The 21,537-nt window shown below is 49.2% G+C and overlaps 1 protein-coding gene across 25 annotated transcripts in view, besides 11 other annotated features; it reads right to left on the bottom strand.

The window, feature by feature from the left end:
* Positions 1-21,537, bottom strand: part of CUX1 (cut like homeobox 1) — a 467,952-nt gene that overhangs the window by 290,632 nt on the left and 155,783 nt on the right. The gene's annotated exons all lie outside the window — the stretch shown is intronic.
* Positions 2,041-2,100: an enhancer, noted in NCBI's record as "active region_26417". NCBI's record gives its function as "activates an Ori minimal core promoter by ATAC-STARR-seq in GM12878 lymphoblastoid cells {active_cell/tissue: GM12878}" and the evidence as "EXISTENCE:reporter gene assay evidence [ECO:0000049][PMID:35858748]".
* Positions 3,585-4,394: an enhancer, noted in NCBI's record as "H3K4me1 hESC enhancer chr7:101632213-101633022 (GRCh37/hg19 assembly coordinates)". NCBI's record gives its function as "activates a minimal SCP1, AML or CMV promoter by ChIP-STARR-seq in naive H9 embryonic stem cells {active_cell/tissue: H9 hESC(naive)}" and the evidence as "EXISTENCE:reporter gene assay evidence [ECO:0000049][PMID:30033119]".
* Positions 3,640-3,689: an enhancer, noted in NCBI's record as "active region_26416". NCBI's record gives its function as "activates an Ori minimal core promoter by ATAC-STARR-seq in GM12878 lymphoblastoid cells {active_cell/tissue: GM12878}" and the evidence as "EXISTENCE:reporter gene assay evidence [ECO:0000049][PMID:35858748]".
* Positions 4,944-5,238: a silencer, noted in NCBI's record as "tiled region #5691; HepG2 Repressive non-DNase unmatched - State 15:Elon". NCBI's record gives its function as "represses a minimal TATA promoter and a strong SV40 promoter by Sharpr-MPRA in HepG2 cells {active_cell/tissue: HepG2}" and the evidence as "EXISTENCE:reporter gene assay evidence [ECO:0000049][PMID:27701403]".
* Positions 4,944-6,383: a biological region, named in NCBI's record as "CDK7 strongly-dependent group 2 enhancer GRCh37_chr7:101630224-101631423".
* Positions 5,184-6,383: an enhancer, noted in NCBI's record as "CDK7 strongly-dependent group 2 enhancer chr7:101630224-101631423 (GRCh37/hg19 assembly coordinates)". NCBI's record gives its function as "activates an origin of replication core promoter dependent on BRD2, BRD4, P300/CBP, MED14 and CDK7 cofactors, with strong dependence on CDK7, by STARR-seq in HCT116 cells {active_cell/tissue: HCT116}" and the evidence as "EXISTENCE:reporter gene assay evidence [ECO:0000049][PMID:35650434]".
* Positions 7,370-8,282: an enhancer, noted in NCBI's record as "H3K27ac-H3K4me1 hESC enhancer chr7:101628325-101629237 (GRCh37/hg19 assembly coordinates)". NCBI's record gives its function as "activates a minimal SCP1, AML or CMV promoter by ChIP-STARR-seq in naive H9 embryonic stem cells {active_cell/tissue: H9 hESC(naive)}" and the evidence as "EXISTENCE:reporter gene assay evidence [ECO:0000049][PMID:30033119]".
* Positions 7,886-8,045: an enhancer, noted in NCBI's record as "active region_26415". NCBI's record gives its function as "activates an Ori minimal core promoter by ATAC-STARR-seq in GM12878 lymphoblastoid cells {active_cell/tissue: GM12878}" and the evidence as "EXISTENCE:reporter gene assay evidence [ECO:0000049][PMID:35858748]".
* Positions 11,306-11,415: an enhancer, noted in NCBI's record as "active region_26414". NCBI's record gives its function as "activates an Ori minimal core promoter by ATAC-STARR-seq in GM12878 lymphoblastoid cells {active_cell/tissue: GM12878}" and the evidence as "EXISTENCE:reporter gene assay evidence [ECO:0000049][PMID:35858748]".
* Positions 11,446-11,565: an enhancer, noted in NCBI's record as "active region_26413". NCBI's record gives its function as "activates an Ori minimal core promoter by ATAC-STARR-seq in GM12878 lymphoblastoid cells {active_cell/tissue: GM12878}" and the evidence as "EXISTENCE:reporter gene assay evidence [ECO:0000049][PMID:35858748]".
* Positions 14,093-14,734: an enhancer, noted in NCBI's record as "H3K27ac-H3K4me1 hESC enhancer chr7:101621873-101622514 (GRCh37/hg19 assembly coordinates)". NCBI's record gives its function as "activates a minimal SCP1, AML or CMV promoter by ChIP-STARR-seq in naive H9 embryonic stem cells {active_cell/tissue: H9 hESC(naive)}" and the evidence as "EXISTENCE:reporter gene assay evidence [ECO:0000049][PMID:30033119]".

The following is a 21,537-nucleotide window of genomic DNA, read 5'->3' as shown; positions in this document are numbered from 1 at the left end:
ACGGAGTCACACTCTGTCACCCAGGCTGGAGTGCAATGGTGCAACCTCGGCTCACTGCAACCTCTACCTCCCGGGTTCAAGCGATTCTCCTGCCTCAGCCTCACGAGTAACTAGGATTACTGGTACCCACCACACACCCGGCTAACTTTTGTATTTTTTAGTAGAGACGGGGTTTTGCCATGTTGGTCAGGCTGGTCTTGAACTCCTGACCTAAGGTGATCCTCCTGCTTTGGCCTCTCAAAGTGCTGGGATTACAGGCATGAACCACAACGCCTGGCCCAAGCCCTTCTTTTTATAAAGGCAAAGAGTGGACCCTCCCGCCCAGGCCACCTAGTCGGCCACCCAGAGCTAGGCATGACCAGCAGCAGAATGACCAGGGCCCCCTCGGGGTGGCCAGAGGCTCCCTAAGTCTGGAGACTGTGTCACAGACGTATTATTCCCTATTGCAAATGGAACTAGATTGTTGTCTAATAGCAGGTAATTACCATGAACAACAATAAAAAAACTCCAAATAATCCGGCGGGGCGGGGGTTGGAGGGGGGCGGCGGGGGCGGAAATCAAAGCTCTGGTGGCCTCACACCCCAAATTGCACCCCTGCTAACAGTATGGCACATCATCTTCCAGAAGCCACCACAATGGCCAGACTTCTGCTCACTGGTACCTGAGCTTCTCTAACCAAACTGAAATAAGATCTAAATCAGTATCACCCTCTGGGTAATACGGCTGATTGGGAAGGATGTTTTTCTTTATCTTACAAACATGTACTGACCCCTCCCCCACCCAACTTGCTGGGCATGGGGCACGTAGGGTGTGGCCCAGGACTTGGGAGCTCCATCACCCACGGGTGGGCATCTGTGGTGAGGTAACAGTCTCGTTAGCTGACACCTCCCTTCTATGCACACCAGTCTCCCCAATCAAAAAAGAAACAGAGTGGAGTTTAAGTTGGCCACTTTCAACCTTTTTTTGTAGTTTTAACTGCAGAAGGCCATTTTCAAATAAAATTTTACAGGGATGCACAATACTGCTGAGCAGGTAAAAACAGGGTCGCACTGGTTGAAGATGGGAGGGGGTGGGTTTTAGGTTGCCCCCCAACCCCGTCCCACTTTCCCCTGTGCTTTAAGGAGCTCAGTAGGAAAGCTCTGGCTAGAAGAAGTGCACCCCCCTCCAAGCCTCTTTCTACCCTGACTTTCTGTGACTGTAGCCACACTTACCTGATTATACAGTCCACAACTCTAAGATGTGACCTTGGCCACTTGGCCCATGTAAACAAAGTCTAGATTAACCTACTGATACATATTTTTGAAACGGAATCTCACTATGTTGCCCAAGTTGGTCTCGGACTCCTGGGCTCAAGAGATGCTCCTGCCTCCCCCAAGGAGCTGGGACTCCAGGCATGTGCCACCATGCCCTGCTAATTTTTTATTTTTTGTAGAGATGAGGTCTTGCTATGTTGCCCAGACTGGTCTTGAACTCCTGAACTCAAGTGATCCTCCAGCCTCCTGAGTGGCTGGGACTATAGGTGTGTGCATGGTGCCTGGCTACTAACTGATTTTTTTTTTTTTTTTTTTGAGATGAAGTCTCACTCTGTTCCCCAGGCTGAAGTGCAGTGGCGCGATCTCAGCTCACTGCAACCTCTGCCTCCCGGGTTCAAGTGATTCTCCTGCCTCAGCCTCCCGAGTAGCTGGGATTACAGGTGCACACCACCACGTCCAGCTAATTTTGGTATTTTTAGTAGAGACAGGGTTTGGCCATATTGGCCAGGTGGGTCTGGAACTCCTGACCTCAAGTGATCCACCCCCCTCGGTCACCCAAAGTGCTGTGATTACAGGCATGAGCCACCACACCCGGCCCCAACTGATATTTTTAAAAGAAGCAGACATCACAGAAATAAAAATCCAATACATAGGCTAGATGGCTATGAATTCTAGCGGAAGTTGGTCAACAAAACAGAGACATGACTTGAATCCCATAAAGATACACACACACATCTGCTACGCGCCCTGGCTTCTCTTGCCCACATTTTAGCTGGTGTCCCAGAACTCATCCGCTATGCTGCCCACGACGGTGGTGGTGTAGGGGGACCTACAAAGCTTCGTTTCAAACACTGCTTGTGTTTTGACAGCCTTTTTCTTTTTTACGGTATTTTTAAAGAAGTGAAACTAGAAGTACTGGATCTCATAAGCCACCCGGGGGAAGCGTTCCCCTTCTGAACCTGTGGGTGCGGGGCTAGGGACAGATGCTGCCTCAGTAGCAGCACCTAGCTGACCTGACAAGCCACCTGTATCTATGGGCGCTGGTTCAAATCCCAGGGGAGGTTTAAAAAGCGTTGATGAGACTCCGTAAAGATGCGGAAATACATATCTGAGAGGAAAAGAGCATTTCAAAACCCTCCTGTGGCTTTTATCCTATGGCACTTTACCCCCAGGGACCTGAGCGGCGCTGTGAGTTGCAGGTGCAAAGGGCTCAGAGCCAGGGGAGAATCACAGAAGACACAGAGCCCAGCAGTCCTCCCTGACCACGGAAGGGGATGTAGGAGAACCCTGGGCTCATGGCACTGACATTTAGCAGCCACTGTATGTTTTGGTCTTGTCTCAAGAGTGTTTTCCCCATTTATCCCATGTACTTTTTTGTTTTAAAGAGATGGGGTCTGGGCCAGGCGCGGTGACTCACACCTGTAATCCCAGCACTTTGGGAGGCCGAGGTGGGAGCGTCACTTGAAGTCAGGAGTTCACGATCAGCCTGGCCAACATGGTGAAACCCCATCTCTACTAAAAATACAGAAATTAGCCAGACATGGTGGTGGGCACTTGTAATCCCAGCTACTTGGGAGGCTGAGGCAGGAGAATCGCTTGAACCCAGGAGGCGGAGGTTGCAGTGAACCAAGATCTCACCACTGCACTCCAGCCTGGGTGAGATTCCATCTCAAAAAAACAAAACAAACAAACAAACAAACAAACAAACAAAAGAGATGGGGTCTGGCTCTGTTGCCCAGTCTGGAATGCAGTGGCACAATCATAGCTCACTACTGCCTTGAACTCCAGGGCTCAAGCAATCCTTTTGCCTCAGCTTCCCAAATAACTTCATCTACGGGGACTACCACGCCCAGCTAATTTAAACCTTTTTTTTTTCCTTAAGAGATGGGGTCTTACCATGTTGTCCAGGCTGGTCTCAAAATCCCGGGTTCAAGAGATCATCTTGCCTCTGCCTCTCAAGTAGCTGGAATTACAGGTGTGAGCCACTGCACCCGCCCATGCCTCTTATTTGCATGCAGATGCTATTCTGACATGAAACCTTTCACTCAAATATTTCTCTACAATGGAGTCTCTCCACAGTCGGGCCATGGCTCCACTGTGGTGAGGCTATCAATTCATTTAAAGTGGTTTCCCACAGCAAAAGCTGCACCTGCGTGCAAGCGATGCCCACACCGAGCGTGTACGGACAGACTTTGAGTGTCTTCTATCAGGCGGGTTCCTGCTCCAGGCCCACCTTGTCCATGAGGCTAACCCAGGGCTGACCTTAGCATGTGCCCACTCTTCTGTACACCCAGAATCCAAGGGGTGGGAAGGACGGGGGTAGGAGCAGGAAATAAGTGTGTGGCCCAGCTGGAGGAGATGGTGTTGGGGTCAGAACACCTGTACCACCTTCAAAATTCCCCCAAACTCCCTGCAAAAGCCCCGGTGAGAATCTCACCAGTCTCAGCTTCCATCCAATGACAGGGCTGAGCTCTCCACCTCCATGGTGTCTTCGAGCTCTTAAATGCCAGGGCCTTACATTAAAATTCACACCAGAGCACAGTGAAGCAACAGAACGCTCCACTCGGGTTTGAATTTGGGCTCCGGGACCTTCCATGGGGGCTTACAGACTTTCCTAACATTTCCCATCTGAGAAATCCAGGGATTATTAACCTACCCCAGCAGGATGCTAGAGGCTGAGATGAAATCACGGCTGGCCAGTGCGGCACGCCGAGCCTCGGCACACGGTCAGCCACGCCTGCTATTTCGATTGTTATCACTGGTCGGCGCAGACATCGTTCCAGGCGAGGTGCCATTGGGGACACGTGGAACCAGATACCACCTGAGGTCTCCGGTTCTGCAGCTGGGTGGAGGACGGAGGCCTGCATGCTACAGAGTCGGGCAGGATGAGGTGACGTCGGTGCTGGGGGAATAGGAAGGAAGGGGGCTGAGGGCTGGGAAGGTTCATGGAGGGGCAGGCCCCTGAGCCGAGCCTTGGAGGAGGAGCAGAATCTGATGGAATGAGGAAGCCTTGCTTCCAGTAGGAAATCTGAGTGTCCTTCCCCTACAAATATTATTATTATTATTATTATTTTTTTTTTGAGACAGGATCTCACCCTGTTTCCCAGGCTGGAATGGCACGATTATAGCTTACTGCAGCCTCAACCTCCAGGACTGAAGCAATCCTCCTGCCTTGGCCTTCCGAGTAGCTGGGACCACAGGTGCATGCCACCACACTTGGCTAAATTTTATTTTTTTGTAGAGATGGAATCTCATTATGCTGCCGAGGCTGGCTCAAACTCCTGGCCTCAAGCAATCCTCCTGTCTTGGCCTCCCAAAGTGCTGAGATAACAGGTATGAACCACCGCGCCCAGCCCCTGGTATCCCGACGCAGGACTCTGTCGCAAGGAACCTGGGAGGCCACATCAAGGTATGGAGGCCTCTTTCCAAATGCCTGGAAAGCTGGAAGATCCCTGAGGACAATGGTGACAGGAGAGGCGAGGACATACCCCAGAGAAGGCAGAGGTGGAAAGGCAGCCCAGGGCTGTGGAATCGGACCTGGAGGGAAAGGAGGAGCAGGGAGACACACAGGAGAGCCTGGGGACACAGATCTGTGGCAGGAGGTGAAGAGGAAGAGCTGGCGCAGAAGCACCCGAGAGGCCCACAGCCCATGAAGTGTTTTCAGGAGAGTTAAGACCCACCATGGAGTGGGCGCCACAGTTAAGCCTGGAGGTTTTGCAGCCAGGAGGGGTTCTGTCTGGGTTTCTTGCCTCCCACCCCAGCCTCCAAAGTGGGTTGACACCAGCTCTGAGCTGTCAGCTGCAGACACTTATCAGACACCGGGGCTGACTCACGGAGAACAGCTTCTTCTTCTTTTTTTTTTTGAAACAGATTCTCGCTCTGTTGCCCAGGCTGGAGTGCAGTGCGTGATCTCAGCTCACTGCAACCTCTGCCTCCCGGGTTCAAGTGATTCTCCTGCCTCAGTCTCCCAAGTAGCTGGGATTACAGGCATGCGCCACCACGCCCAGCTAATTTTTCTATTTTTAGTAGAGACGAGGTTTCCCCATGTTGGCCAGGCTGGTCTCGAACTCCTGACCTCAAGTGATCCACCTGCCTCGGCCTCCCAAAGTGCTGAGATTACAGGCATGAGCCAGCAGCCCAGCCTGAAAAAACGCTTCTTACACCAACAGAGTCAGCTTTCTCTGAACTTGGCTGTTTTTGTCAAGAGTTCGTTTAGACTTTCTTCTAGGATGAAAAATCATGTGTATTTGTTTTACATCTAAGTAAGGAGTAATATGGAGTCAGACCAATTCCATTCATTTGCCGTTTCCTGTAAGATCAGCACTCTGATGTCCCTGGTGCAGTCCTCCCTCGGATGACCAAGGGCCCTCAGGCACGTGCCCTGCGCCAGGACACCGCAGCGGCCGGGAAAGGCAATGTCCCCGCCCTTGCTTCTAATGTGGAAGACAGAAGATGGAGAACAGGCGGTGAGTCAGCAGGCTTATAAGGGACCCCGGGGGTATCCCCTGTCCCACGGAGTCACCGGGGTCAAGGTTCCCCCAATAGTCAACTCATCAAATGTCTTTTGAATAAAAAAGAAATTCAAAAACTTTGAAACATGACCCTAGTCTGAAACAGACTTCAAAGCAAGCAGTGCTCCAGGACTCACCATTTCTTCCGCTTGAACCTATGAGAAGCTGAGTCACTGTCGCCAACCCATTACCGTGGAAGTATCTGAGCCGTGAGTGAGCAGCGGTCCATATGCACCCCTTTCCCGTAGCTTGGGGAGTTCCACATTAGGACAAGAGGAGCGCCTCTGTTTACCGTCGTGGCTCACGCACGGACTTCTGTGCAAGCATTTGCCCCACACTCATTCATCGATGATGTGCTGGGCACTGTGTCGGGATGCGGGAGTGAATCGAAAGCAAACAGATGACTGCAACTCTACCCATGGGCTACCCATGCAGGTGCCTCATTCCAAGACGGACGAGGTCAGAGCTCCAGGTGGCAAGGCCTGAGCTGAGGCACAGGGAGGGAGGAAGCACGGTGGGACAGGGGTGGCAGGAGCAGACTGGGGCACAGGAGGAGCCCAGAGAGGTGGCCCTGGTGTTCCAGGGAGGTGAGCGAGGCAGGAGCACAGGCTAGGACCACATCCCCACGGCTTCCAGGGCAGGAGCTGGCTTGTCCTTCAGGCCACAGGGAGCCACTGAAGGACCCTGCAGCAGGGCCCTGACAGCATCAGCTCTGAGTTGGAGAAGGAACATTCTAGAGCTCTACAGTCTCACATTACAGAGGAGAAAGACTCTGCTCTGGTAGGGTCCGGAGTTGGGCCCTGGTCTCCTTATGCCAACTCAATGGTCCTTACGGTCCATTTCCTCTCGTCTCCAAACCACCACCAGTTAACACTTGGTTCTGTGCGAGAGCTGGAAGACAAGCCGAGGGAGGGCATGCCTCCAGGCAGCAGAGCCCACGGGAAAAGGGCTCAGAGCTCATCCCCATTCCTTTACAGAGGCTCTGTCACTCACCAACACAGCGATGGGCCTGGGGAGCCTGCAACCCTCATCCTCCTTGGGAAGATTAAGTAAAAGGACACAGTGCCGCCTGTAATAGGCATTCAGGAAGGGCTGCCAGCTCTCTCTTAAGTGAGTCATGAGACGAACAGGTTTCTTATTCAATTAACTGAGAGCTCATTTCTGTAACATTTTCTTTCCTTATGGAAAAGAGCCTTGTATTCTAAATAAATACATATCTTGAAAACAAGCTCTTGGGTCACAGCCCAAAAAAGGAAAAACACTAAATTCCACACTCCTCTTAGGGGAGACAGACCTACTGATCTCACCGATGAAATGTGACAAAAATATGAAGATCCGACCCCAGTGCCTCGTTACCAATTCCATCTCTTGTTGTTAACACTTGTGCAAAATTACACCTTAAAACCAGGACCGGTTTCTATCTGTAAGCGTTCCTGAATTGTCTGTGAGGGGCTCTTTACAGTGGTGTTAAATTTCACCAGCTTAACAACTCCAGGCTTCTGACAGACAGATCTGGGGCAGCCCAGGTCCCCGCAGTCAGAAGCGGCAGGTCTCAAAGGCCAACAAAACAGAGACACTCTGGAAGGGTTCCTGTTTCAGGTACCTTGCTGCCATTGAAGCTGCGTTCCTTTAAAACCTTCTGGAAAGTAAATTTCTGCAACCTTAATGCACTGCCTGTCTAAAGAACCCCTGTGGGAACTCCCTCTGAAAAACAAGGAAGCTTTTGTAACGTCAAGAATCACACCACATCAATCTGCTTTGTAATTTTCGTTACACCATTACCTGGCAGACACTGACACCATACCCGGCACTGGGCTCAGTGTTGTGTTAGAGGGATGGTTTTACTGAATCCTCAAAACAGGGTGGTGGCTTTTGCTCTTATGCACATTTTACAGATGAGGAAACTGAGATGTGGGAATTTGGGAAACTTCCCCCAAAGTGGCCCAGCCACCTGGCTCCGGAGTCCAAGCTCTTAACCTCTCCACTGCAGGGCAACTGCAAAAATCTGGCAACAAGTCTCCACGGCATTCTCCTGGTTGTTCTAGGAAGATGTGGAGTTTGCAGCACGGCATGGTGTCAAACAGCCACATGCACAGCAGTCCTGCAGGCACTACCTTGCAGCTGCCACCATGATCGTGGACAGAACGCTCCTCTTGGCCCCAGGTACTGACACCATGCCAGGCTAGCTACATTTCCCCAGTTTCCCTGAACCCCCAGGGCCTGTCTGTGTCTCCCCCACAGGGCAGGAAACCCCTTCCTCCAGAGGCTGATCTCCCCGCACGACCCCCCTCTCCCGTCTGCAGAGCAGCTCAGAACCAAAGGTGAAAGTATCTGAAAGCCAAGACTATAGCGTGTATACACATAGCAATTTGTTACTGTGAGAAACCATCTGTTTCTCGGTATTACAATCCTCAGAGGGCAAATTATAGCTAGCGTTCAACATAAAACATCAATTTAAACCATCAACTATTCATAATTTCAATTCTTTATTGGAAACCAAGGACATAAATGTCAGGGAATAAAGCAATATTTCTTTTATTAACTATTCCATTCATCTGGCTATTAAATAAAACCAGGGCCCCAATAAATGGCAGGAGTCCTTGCCTGAGAGCCACACCAAATAGCTCTATAATTCTCAGACGTTTTAAAACAACGAAAACTGCATTATTTGAAAAGTTAGAAACTTTAATATATAATAAAATTAAGATTAATGCGATCTTAATACCTTGCAAAACTGTTTGCCATGCCCTCGTATTCATATATTTCTTCTTGCGCGGTTTATTTTTAACAGTGCTCATTTTGTACTGAGAACGTGCTGTTTTTTACGACTGAGTTTTGCGAACGCCAGCCACCTCCAGCATTTTTCACTGACATCTAGTTTTCCCAGGCTGATGTTCCCTCCCGACTGCCCATCTGCGCTTGTGCCAGGAGGGATGCCATCATCCAAGCACAACCCAGGGTGTGGGTGGCCTTCAGAGCTCAGTCCTGCAGGACTTGCACCCAACAGCTCGCCTGAGAGTGCAGGGCAGGTTCTCACTGCAAGCACTTTTTTTTTTTTTTTTTTTTGCCGGAGAACAATCTGAGCGTTCAAAAATGAAATCTACGAAGCACGGAAGAGAATATTTACACCGTCCTTTGTGTACTAGGCTGTATATCGAGGTTTTTATCTACATTGTCCCACGACAATCTTACAGGGTGGGTACACTTTACAGATCATCAGGATGCAAGTTTGGAAAGGTGAGTCAGCCACTGGTCCCATCCATAGGAGGCACACCCATGTGTTCAACAATGAGGAAATAAAGAGAAATAAAACATGGGCCCATATTCAATGCCTGACAGTCTAATAGCCATGATGGACACTGACACACTTTGGACATCTGTCCCCTAACACACACACACACACACACACACACATATATATATGTGTGTGTGTATATATATATATATATATATATATATATATATATATATATTTTTTTTTTTTTGGGGGGGGACAGAGTCTTGCTCTGTCACCCAGGCTGGAGTGCAGTGGTGCAGTCTCAGCTCTGTCACCCAGGCTGTAGTGCAGTGGCACAATCTCAGCTCACTGTAACCTCTGCCTCCCGGGTTCAAGCGATTTTCCTGCCTCAGCCTCCTGAGTAACTGAGATTACAGGTACATGCCACCACACCCGGCTAGTGTCCCCTCCAAATTTCATGTTGAAATGTGATCCCCAGTGTTGGAGGTGGGGCCTGGTGGGAGGTGTTTGGGCCATGAGGGCAGATTGCTCATGAATGGCTTGGTGCCCACCTCCTGGTAATGAGTGAATTCTTGCTCTGAGTTCTTGTGAGATCTGGTTGTTTAAAAGAGTCTGGGACCTCCCCCTTCTCACTCTCTCTCTCCCCATGTGATATGTCAAGTCCTCTTTGCCTTCCATCATGACTGGAAGCTTCCTGAGGCCTCACCAGCAGCAGATGCTGGCGTCATGCTTCTTGTACAACCTGCAGAACCATGGGCCAAGTAAACCTCTTTTCTTCATAAATTACTCAGCCTCGGGTATTTCTTTATAGCAATGCAAATGAACTAACAGACTCACACATAATTGTTCACTGCAGTCAGTGGCCATGGGCCCAGGGCACCCCAGGGTGGGCACAGAGGAAAAAAACTGAACCACCTCATGCCACCGAGGGAGGAACCACTGGTGGGAGGATGGGAGGGGTGTTAGAGAAGTTTCCTGGGGCTGGAGACCACACCTGGGCTGAGGTTTATGCAAATAGCTGCTTTTGTCTTTCTTTTTCTAAGAGGTTGTCACCCAAAGAATAATTATTTTATGGAGACCAAATATAACAGCATTAAAGAAAGATCTTATATTCAAAACACGTATATGCCCATCCCACATCCCCAGCAGAACTTTTTCTTTTGGTCACACAGCCAATGACATAAACATCTCCGTCCTTCTGAACAGCACTGGTGATTTTACATTTTAGTGGCTGTATAATATTCCTTCCTGTTGAGGTGGGCCGTCAGGAACTGTTGGGTGAATGAATGAATGACTAGTGCTTTCCTTAGGCACAGGACGTGGACACTCACAAAGCGCTTAGACCCACACCTCTGTGGGTGTCCTGACACCACCCAGAAAGGGGATTGATTAAAACTGTCCCTGTTGGGGAAGGAGAACATCACACACCGGGGCTTGTCATGGGGTGGGGGGAGGGGGGAGGGATAGCATTAGGAGATATACCTAATGTAAATGACGAGTTAATGGGTGCAGCACACCAACATGGTACATATATACATATGTAACAAACCTGCACGTTGTGCACATGTATCCTAGAACTTAAAGTATAATAAAAAAAAAAAAGTCCCTGTTGGCTCACACCTGTAATCCCAGCACTTTGAGAGGCCGAGGCAGGCAGATCGTTTCAGGCCAGGAGTTCAAGACCAGCCTAACCAACATGGTGAAACCTCATCTCTGCTAAAAATACAAAAATTAGCCGGGCATGGTGGCCCGCATCTGTAATCCCAGCTACTCAGGAGGCTGAGGCATGAGAATCACCTAAGCCTGGGAGGCAGAGGTTGCAGTAAGCCAAGATCACAACACAGTACTCCAGCCTGGGCGACAGAGCAAGACTCCATCTCAAACAAAAAAGAAAAAAAGAAAAAAAAAAGAAATTTAAAAACTGTCCCTGTTTTGCAGGTGAGGAAATTCAGGAGACCCAGTGACTTGTCCTCCTGTCTCTTGCACTAATTCTAAAGCTGCTGCCCTAGCTCCTGGCCTTCCCTACCAGCTCATAACACCTTGGTGAGAAAAACGAGGCAGCAGGGCACACTCAACTTTTCTCACTTACAGTGGAAGATGTCAGCAGTCACAGCTATGGAGGAAGAGAAAGCTCTCAGGGGAAACTACTTTTTACTGCTATGTTATTGGTCAGGGCTGAGTCATACATTTCAGCCTGCAATGCAGGTAGAGGGAAACTCTAGCAATCAACAGGCAAGAAAATACCTGCCAAGATCGACTTGGACAACCTCATGGGTTTGGTTTTCTTTCTTCCCTTTTCTGCTTGCTTATTTTAGGCCATCTTGGTGAATACAGAAAGCAACAGTTAATTTTCCCTCCCACTTATGTGGCTGAGCGAAACCTCCCTGGTTTTATTAGAGTCAAGACTTGAAACCTGGCCAGGTGCGGTGGCTCACGCCTGTAATCCCAGCACTTTGGGAGGCCAAGGCGGCAGATCACTTGAGGTCAAGAGTTCAAAACCAGCCTGGCCAACATGGTGAAACCCCGTTTCTTCTAAAAATACAAACATTAGCTGGGCGTGGTGGTGCTTGCCTGTAATCCCAGCTACTCAGGAGACGGAGGCAGGAGAATCGCCTGAACCAGGGAGGCGGAGGTTGCAGAGCCGAGATCGCACTGCTGTACTCCAGCCTGGGCGACAGAGCGAGACTCCGTCTCAAAAAAAAAAAAAGACTTTAAACTTCAGAGCCTCTGACATTTGCATTCACGATTCAAACACCACTGGGGAATGCCTGGGATATCATTTTAATAAGCACATTATCTGTAAAAGAGAGTGGCTAAGACTCACATTGCCAGCCTGGGAATGGCTGGCCACTCTCTGTGGCCACCAATTGGCTATTCCACGTAGCCCAGGCCACACTGAGTGCCCTGAACTGAGATTTATCATTCACTCTACAAATAATTTCAGTACCTGCTACATGCCAGCCACTCTTTCATTCACAAAAAAGAAGACATGTTTTTGAATTCAGGCAACTTACATCCTCATGCGGCAAGACAAGTAAGAAACAAACACATACTATGTCAGGAGAGAGGAACTGTGGTAGAAAACGTCCTGCAAGGGAAAGTGAGGCGTGTGTATAGGTTGGGGGAGGAGGGGGCCGGGGACACAGTACTGGCTCAGGATTCACAAAACGGGGGGTATTCATGTCAGGACCTCTCCCTGTTCAGGAGCTATGCCAAAAGAGGCCTCTCCCTAGGTCATCTCCCTAGGCAAGCCTGATGTCCACAAATTCATTTTTCCATTTATTATTTTTGCAATTAATTGCAAAAACCACAATGACTTTTGCACCAAACTAAATATTGCCTGAAATTTCCAAAGACGCAGCATGTGACTCGGTAGCTAAAGGGGGAAAGAGCATCCCTAGAGTTAAGTTCCCAGGACATTGAACTCAAAGGCCAGATTCAGAGAGAGGAGTCAGGAAGCGCAGGTGCTGTGTTCGGGAGAAAGTCCCACGGGGTGTGGGGCACTGTGGCTTCCAGGTACATCCGTGCGGACGGCGGGCTGGTTCTCGGGGCCTTCAGGAGCCCTGTTCTTGGGCCGGGGGTCACAGAGTTAGGAGACGGCTGGCTGGCTGAACAGTTACAAGCTGGCCTAGAGCAGAAGAAGGTGGTTTATGTCACCGCACTCTCCCCTGAGTCAGAAGCGGGAGAGGTGTCTCCAGGGTCTGCCTGAGTGAGAACCAATCTGCCACCTACTTTGGATTGTGTCATTTTTCACTCAAGTGCCAGGTAGAGAACTGGTCAGATTCTTCAAAATGAAGATTTTTATTGTTTTAATTGGAAACAGGGTCTCCCTCTGTCGCCCAGGCTGGACTGCAGTGACACAATCACAGCTGACTGCAGCCTCGACCTCTCGGGTGGAGCAATCCTCCCACCTCAGCTTCCCCAGTAGCTGGGACCACAGGTGCATGCCACCATGCTCAGCTACTTTTTAAACATTTTTTTTGGAGAAACAGGGTCTTGCTATGTTGCCCAGGCTGGTCTCGAACTCCTGGGCTCAAGCAATCCTCCCACTTTGGCCTCCCAAAGTGCTGGGATTCCAGGTGTGAGCCCCCACACCCAGCCTGAAGGTTCTTCTTCTGTAAGATCCTGAGTAGTGGCATCACTGCCCTGGGGACCCTCTGTTGAGAATAATATTCATCACAACCTCCCTGGCCCAGAATGACACTGCAGGGCACTGCTCCCTAAGCCCGGTGCTGGCTGGGAGCCCTTCCAGAAACAGCTCAAGGGTAGGGCCCCGCTCTCCGCACTCTGTCACCCAGCCCTGGGCCTGTACTCATACTCACAGCGCTGGAAACAAAGTTCCTGAATAACAGACGAAGAAATAAAACACCCAGCCGGACACGGTGGCTCACGCCTGTAATCCCAGCACTTTGGGAGGCCAAGGCGGGTGGATCACCTAAGGTCAGGAGTTCGTGACCAGCCTGGCCTGTTAACATGGTAAAACCCTATCTCTATTAAAAATACAAAAATTAGCTGGGCATGGTGGTGGGCACCTGTAGTGCCAGCTACTCGGGAGGCTGAGGCATGAGAATTGCTTGAACTCAGGAGGTGGAGGTTGCAGTGAACCGACATTGTGCTACTACACTCCAGCCTGGATGACAGAGCAAGACTCCGTCTCAAAAAAAAAAGAAAAAAGAAAGAAAACACCTGAGCCCTGCCAAGGGGGAGCTGTCTTCCCCAAACCAACAAACCTCCTAAAGATAGCTGGGAGCCCATCCTACCAGCTCTGATTTGGGGCTGGTTTGTGAGTTACTGTTAGGAGTAAGTCCCTAGAAGTGATAAAAGATAAATCAACCCAACGTTTGATTTATAAGATATATCAGACTGATAACTAGTGACAATGTTAATCTAATTACAATTCAAAAATCTCATCACATCCATTTTCCATGCTATTTCATTAACTTGGGCTTTTGCCAACAATTCAACATTTTAAGCGTGACCGAATTCACGCTTCATTCCTTCGGTGTGGGTGATGACCTGCTCCAGGGTGAGGGTCTCAGAGCCCCTCTTCCACCCAGTGGCCCATATGCCGGCCCTAGGGAGCCCTTTTTCTAGCCCACAATCCTTTCCCAGCATCACAGTCTAGAGCACCTCCATCTCCTGGTACTCACCTCCTGGAAGGTTTTCTGAGTGGTCAACATGTTCCCGAGAGCCTACATCTGCACTGCTTGCCCAGGATTTCTGCTTCTTGCTCATTAAATGGACACTCTTGGCTTTAAAGGTAGGGCAGGCACCAGGCGGTTAACACCAGGCAGCGCCCCTCTGGCCCCAGTAATTTGTGACCACTGGTCATTATGCTTCCCACATAGAATCCAGCCAGCCCATCAACAGATGTTTACTGTGCACCTATGATACCCCGGGCTCTGTGCCTGGGGCTGGACGTACGCCGTGAAGTGGCCTGAAAGTGCTCTCATGGGAATGGCATTCTAGGAGGGAAAGGTAGACAGAGATGGAAATGACACACCAGGCAATGTGTGACAGGAAGAGCACAAGTAGCTGGAATTCCGGGTGAGCCAGGTGGAAGAAAGTGGAAGAAGCCACGGGGCGCAGAGGAGGAGGACAGAGGCTAGGCAGGTTCAAGGGTGAAGACCGGGGCTAGAGGGGCCGTGGCCCAGCCAGTGAGGGCGACGTGGGGTCACAGAATGTGGAAGGTTGGATGGAAAGACATCAGAGGGTCTAGCAGGGAGACGGAAAGATCTGAACTGCATTCGTTAGAAATAAAACTGAGGCCGCTGGGGAAAGAGAATGGACAGAAGGCAGCCAAGAACGGAAGTGGTGGTGGGGTGGCCATGACAGTGGCTTGGGCCAAGGTGACAGCGTGTAGCTGGGAGCCCAGGTGTATCCAGGAGGAAGGACGGGCTTGCTGGTGGACCAGGCATGTCGGGGGAGAGGAGGGGGAGCCCCAGGGCACACCTAGGTTTTAGCCTGAGCAGCCCCTGGGTGGTGACGCCATTTCCCGAGGTGACAGGGGGACTGGGATTGGTGGTGCAGGCGGTGTGTGTGGGAGGGGTCAACAGTTCTCTTTTGAAGCCATGTGAAGCCGGAGATGTCTTTCCAAGTAGAGATGTTGAATATTCAGTTGAATATTTGGGTTAATATAAATATAGACGCCATCCTTCTGTGGATGGTATTTTAAGCCACGAGAGTCGATGGGATCCCCTGAGGACAGGGTCTTGTAGATATCAAAGGGCAGGTCCCCGAGACTTATGTGCCCTCTAACCTCAGGTGCAGGGCGCGAGTGGGGACCCAGCAGAGTGATGGGCAAGGTGGGCCGAACCAGGAGAGCCTGTATCTCAGACAGGGGTCAGGGAAAAAAAAAACGTTTTAAGAAGGGGAAAGTGGTCTGCTCTCAAGAGCTCAGTCACATCTCATGCTTTACTTTTCAATAATTTTCACACATTCTGCTGACCCCCCATATATAACCATGCTTAAAAAGCAAGATTGCAGCTTGAAATTCCTAGTTCTTGGCTCCTGGAAGGAGGAATCTTTTTTATTTATTTATTATTATTATTTTTTGAGCAGAGTCTCACTCTGTCACCCAGGCTAGAGTGCAGTGGTGCAATCTCGACTCACTGCAGCCTCTGCCTCCTGGGTTCAAGCGATTCTCTCAAAGGAGAATCTTTTTATGTTATTTATTTATTTTGAGCCACGGTTTCACTCTGTTGCCCAGGCTGGAGTACAGTGGCACGATCATAGCTAACCTGCAGCCTCGATCTCTTGGGCTCAAACCATTCTCTTGCATCACCCTCCCAAATAGCTGGGACTACAGGTGTGCACCATCATGCCTGGCTAAAGTTTTGATTTTTTGGTAGAGATGGGGTCTTGCTACACTGTCCAGGCTGGGGAATCCTTTTATTTAAAAATAATGGTATTTCTTCAAAGAATAGCTTCAGCTTGGACCAAACCAATTTTCCAAGACTGAACAGAGACAAGGAGGAGTGGCAGCCAATGTAGGGAATATCTGGAGCTGGAAAAAGAGCAATGTTTTAAGTAAGGGCTGGAAGGAAGTTCCTTGTGGGTTGATACATCTTCGGGAGTGGAGAGATAAAAGCGGAAATGGAAATCAGGAAGGGTGCTGGGTGCAGTGGCTCACGCCTGTAATCCTAGCACTTTGGGAGGCCGAGGCGGGAGGATCACCTGAGGTCAGGAGTTCAAGACCAGCCTGGCCAACATGGTGAAGCCCCATCTCTACTAAATATACAAAAATTAGCCGGGTGTGGTGGTACACACCTGTAATCCCAGCTACTTGGGAGGCTGAGGCAGGAGAACTGCTTGAACCTGGGAGGTGGAGATTGCAGCAAGCTGAAATCATGCCACGACACTCCAGCCTGGGTAACAAGAACGAAACTACATCTCCAAAAAAAAAAAAAAAAAAAAAAAAAAAATCAGAAAGGGAAAAGACTATTCAAATTCTAGTTACAATATCAACTAAATGGAATAAAGTCAAATTTAAATCTCGGGAAGTTGGAGCTACTTTTGTTTCCCCTGAACTGTGACAGAGCAGGACAATTGTTCAAAGAGGCACATGGAGTTTTCACACCTCCAGTATAATGAGACGCACTGGATCCACCGATGTAAATTTAGAGTTTTTCAATATGTGCAATTATGCCACCATCCAAAATGCCAAAATGCTGCCACATTCACACTCGTCATCAGATCTTTAATGGCTGCCCAAAAAAGTTATGAGAAAGAGGAGAGTGGCTGATGGGAGAAACAGTCAATTACAGCTCTCTGGAAAGCCCTCAGGCTGCCACCTCTACAAGTTTTGGCTTTTAGGGGAAGTTCATTTCAAACTCCTGCCCCCGTCTGGGTTTTTCAATCAAAAATTCCTTATGCATATTTTTGGTTCACATTTCCCATCGCTCAAAAATGATTTTTAAAATTTTCTTTTATTCAGAATATTTAAAGGAATATTGCATTGGGAAAATGAGCTATCTGCCTGGGGGAAAAAACAGATCCCTTACACTACAATACCCTACACACAAAACTGTTGTCGATTCAAAAACCAAGTGAAACACTAGAAATCTACAATTACTATAAGAGAGTACAGAAATATAGTTTATGTTTACAAAATGAATGGTAGATTTGGGAAAAATTTCTACAACATGTAAGAGAGAAATAATTAATTCATACTGTGGTTTTTTGTTTGTTTTAGAGATGGGGTCTCTCTCTGTGCCCAGGTTGGAGTGCAGTGGTGTGATCTCGGCTCACTGCAATCTTCACCTCCCAGGTTCAAGTGATTCTCCCTGCCTCAGCCTCCCAAGTAGCTGGGATTACAGGCATCCATCACAACGCCTGGCTAATTTTAGTAGAGACGGGGTTTCACCATGTTGGCCAGGCTGGTCTGGAACTCCTGACCTCAGGTGATCCACCCACCTTGGCCTCCCAAAGTGCTGGGGTTACAGGCGTGAGCAGCTGTGCCCGGCCTTAATTCATGCTCTTTAAAAGTGAGTAAGATGACGACGAGGTAAAAGACCAACCAAAATAAACAAAGGATGTCAAAAGGTAATTTACACAGGAGATACCACTGGCTAACAAACACACGGAAAGACAGCCAACCTCACTGTTGATGGACGAGTTTTGAGTTTAAGGCAATATATATTTTTTGACCAGTGGAAAATTTATCACAATGCCATTATCCAGGGTTAGTGAGGTTTGGAGGAAGAGAACACTCCCATGCCTCACTGGTGAGGAGTGACAACTGAAACAGGCATTTTCTTTTTTCTTTTAGAGACGGGGTCTCGTTCTGTCACCCAGGTTGGAGTACATGACACAATCATAGCTCACTGCAGCCTCGAACTCCTGGGCTCAAGTGATCCTCCCACCTCAGCTTCCTGAGTAGCTGGGACTACAAGCACATGCCACCATGCCTAGCTGATTAAAAAAAAAAAAATTCATTTTTTGTAGAGATAAGGAGGTCTCACTATGTTGCCCAGGCTGGTCTCAAGCTCCTCCTGCCTTAGCCTCCCAAAGTGCTGAGATTACAGGCGTGAGCCTTTTCTTTTCTCTCTCTCTCTCTCTTTTTTTTTCCTTTTGAGACAGAGTCTTGCTCTGTTGCCCAGGCTGGAGTACAGTGGCACAATCGCGACTCACTGCAACCTCCATCTCTCGGGTTCAAGGGATTCTCCTGCCTCAGCCTCCTGAGCAGCTGAGATTACAGGCACCTCCCATCACGCCCGGCTAAGTTTTGTATTTTTAGTGGGGACGATGAGGTTTTGCCATGTTGGCCAGGCTGGTCTCGAACCCCTGACCTCAGTTGATCCACCCACCTCGGCCTCCCAAAGTGCTGGGATTAGAGGTATGAGCCACCACACCTGGCTGGTGTGGGCCATTTCTGATGCCAAATTGGCAAAGAACATGGACATCTTTCTGACCCAGCAAATCCCATTCCCAGACCTCCCTCTGCCCACATGCCATGACAGCCTCCTTCCCAAAAACACTCCTGAGATGCCTTCCTCGCTCTTGTCTTTTCCATGTGTTTATTATACATACAACGCACAAATAATTCCTACTATAAAATTTAAGAAAATAGAGATGACTAAGGAATGAATGAAAGCCCCTCACGCCAAGCTGCCCGCCCCCTTCCTCAGCTGATATCACCCCTGGCTGCGCTCTTCTCTGTGATACAAAAGGCACTTTTGGAGTGAATGATACTCTCTCCAGCTGAAAAGGCCAACCTGTAATATATCTACATCTATATTTAGATTATAGAATTAGATCCCAATTTAGCTGACTTTCATCTCATAGCCTGTGATGTTTCCCAGCGCTGCCTGAATTAGATTTCCTACTAGTTAGAATTTCCTGTAAGCTAGGATTAAAAGCTCTCGTTTCCTAGTTTCTCCTTTCTATCTTAATCATTATACAGCACTTCACATTTCATAAGAACTTTTGAAAATATTAACAGGTTATTTCGCTTCCTGATAATCTATGAAAGACACAGAGAGGATAAAACTAGAGTGTGTGGTTAAGATGAGAGTGTGCCACAGTAAGACTCCAGGATGGGGACATTTTCGGCTCTGTGGCCTCAGTCATGGTCAAGTCATTTGTTCTTTTTGGGTCTGATTCTTAATTTTTAAAATGAGAATTTGATACTTGGGAGGCTGAGGTGAGAGCATTACTTGAGCCCAGGGAGGTGGACGTTGCAGTGAGATTGTGCCACCGCACTCCAGCCTGGGTGACAGAGCCAGATTCTATCTCAAAAAAAAAAAAAAGAATCTGGGCCGGGCGCAGTGGTTCACGCCTGTAATCCTAACACTTTGGGAGGCTGAGGCGAGTGGATCACGAGGTCAGGAGTTCCAGACCAGCCTGGCCAACATAGTGAAACCCCGTCTCTACTAAAAATACAAAAAATTAGCCAGGCATGGTGGCGGACACCTGTAATCCCAGCTACTCGGGAGGCTGAGGTAGGAGAATCTCTTGAACCTGGGAGGTGGAGGTTGCCGTGAGCTGAGATCATGACACTGCACTCCAGCCCAGGCGACAGTGTGAGACTCCGTCTCAAAAAAAAAAAAAAAAGAAAAAGAAAAAGAAAAAGAATCTGGGGCAAGGTGGACAGTATAGAAAGTGCCTGTCCCATATGTTCTAATTGGGACATGTCACTTTCTTTCCCTCTTCTTTCAAAATTCACTCCAATTCAGGGGTCCAGGTGGGGGCTATTAAGGGTGCTGGTGGCATTTTCCATCTGGGTGCAGGGGACACGGGTGCATTCATTTGGCGCAAATTAATTGAATGCACGCAGTATGAAGTGTACATTTTTCTATATGCATAACTTTCCCTGTATGCATGACTTCAATTTAAATGGTCAAACCAAAAAGGTAAAACTTGCTCCCTCCAGTCTCCAATTCCCCTGTCAGCAGACTGTCCTGGCGTTGCACTGGCTTGCTGCGGAGGGCTGGGGGGCAGTGGTGGAAATGAGCCTCTCATTAAAAACACGTGCCTTCTGGGAGCCGTGATGAACGTGAGTGTGAGATGAGTCCAGCTGCGGTCAGAGCCATGGGATGTGGGTCACTGTGACCCAGTGGGTCACAGGTGCTGAGCAAGGAAGGGCTGGGAGGCTCAAGCAAAATCTACAAGAAAAATCTAAAGGGGCCCAGCCTCTGCCAGGAAAAGCAGGCCTGGCTCTGCTGAAACCCCAATCACGCTCTGATGGATACCGGTACCTGGGCAAGGATACCGTGGATGGACTTGATTCTTCTCTCCTGAAATGTACGAGAAGGTGCATGCGGGGATTTCGGCTGCCTGAAAAGCAACCCTCTAAAACCCGAGTGTCATTTTTAGAATCAAAAAGGAAGGAAGGCAGTGGCTGGCTGCACTGGTCAGTAACGAGATCTGGAGCTTTTCGCCTTAAGGTCACTGTTTAAAACTCTGCCCTGGGTCAGTGGTAACAGAAAGTCACGACTCCCTCACAGGCATCAGGGTGCAACTTTGAATGCCAAGAAGGGCTGTGTCTGTTGGTTACCACGCGGCGAGCTCCCGGGACACCTCCTGACACCTACTGACAGTGTCTCTTTCTCTAGGAGTGGCCTCTCTTCCCACCCACCATGGCGGCCTGGCCTGGAGGAGGAGGCATTGGGGCCGGAGTCCTTCCCCGACAGGGAGTCTCTCTCCACCTTGGCGGCTGAACTCCAGCACACGAATACACAGGAGGTGGTGAGGGCGCGTGAATACAGCAGAAAGGGCCACCAGCAGAGACAAAAAGGAGGAGCAAAGGGCAGATGTGTCCAGTGGTCAGGGCCCTCCCCAGGTCCTCCGTGCTCCTGGCCCTCTTCAAGGCTGTTTTCGATGCGGGATCCATGACACGCTTCTCTCTCCAACAGATCCCCGCAACCTAGCCAGGTCAGATGCCGTCCGAGGAGGCAAGAAAATTCTGATCGATCTCTTTGTCCCCGAACGGTATGTGTCTAAAAAGACTAAACCAACCAGATTTAAAAGAGGGACAGAGTTCATTCTCTGGTTCTAATGACCAGTACTTTACAAGCTACATTTACTCTGTATCTGAACTCAAAACATCAGTTGATCTGGCCCGGGCACGGTGGCTCACGCCTGTAATCCCAGCACTTTGGGAGGCGGAGGCAGGCGGATCACGATGTCAGGAGATCGAGACCATCCTGGCTAACACGGTGAAACCCCGTCTCTACTAAAAATACAAAAAATTAGCTGGGCGTGGTGGCAGGCGCCTGTAGTCCCAGCGTCTTGGGAGGCTGAGGCAGGAGAATGGCGTGAACCCGGGAGGCGGAGCTTGCAGTGAGCCAAGATAGCGCCACTGCAGTCCCACCTGGGCGAAAGAGCGAGACTCTGTCTCAAAATAAATAAATAAATAAAAATAAATCAGTATCTGAAATCACCCAACTCACAAATCCAGACAGAAGTTCCTCTACCTATAGAAAGAGGTGTATCCACTCCTAAAAATGGGCCTGTAATTCTCTTGTCTTCTTTTAGACCAATGTAATGCTGCTTCTATTAAGCTGTAAGATACCTGCCAGTGGCACTTGGTTGC

The sequence above is a fragment of the Homo sapiens genome, chromosome 7, assembly GCF_000001405.40.
Source record: "Homo sapiens chromosome 7, GRCh38.p14 Primary Assembly".
NCBI lineage: Eukaryota > Metazoa > Chordata > Mammalia > Primates > Hominidae > Homo > Homo sapiens.
Note: the sequence above shows the minus strand (reverse complement) of the source record. Positions and strands in the feature narration are given on the sequence as shown.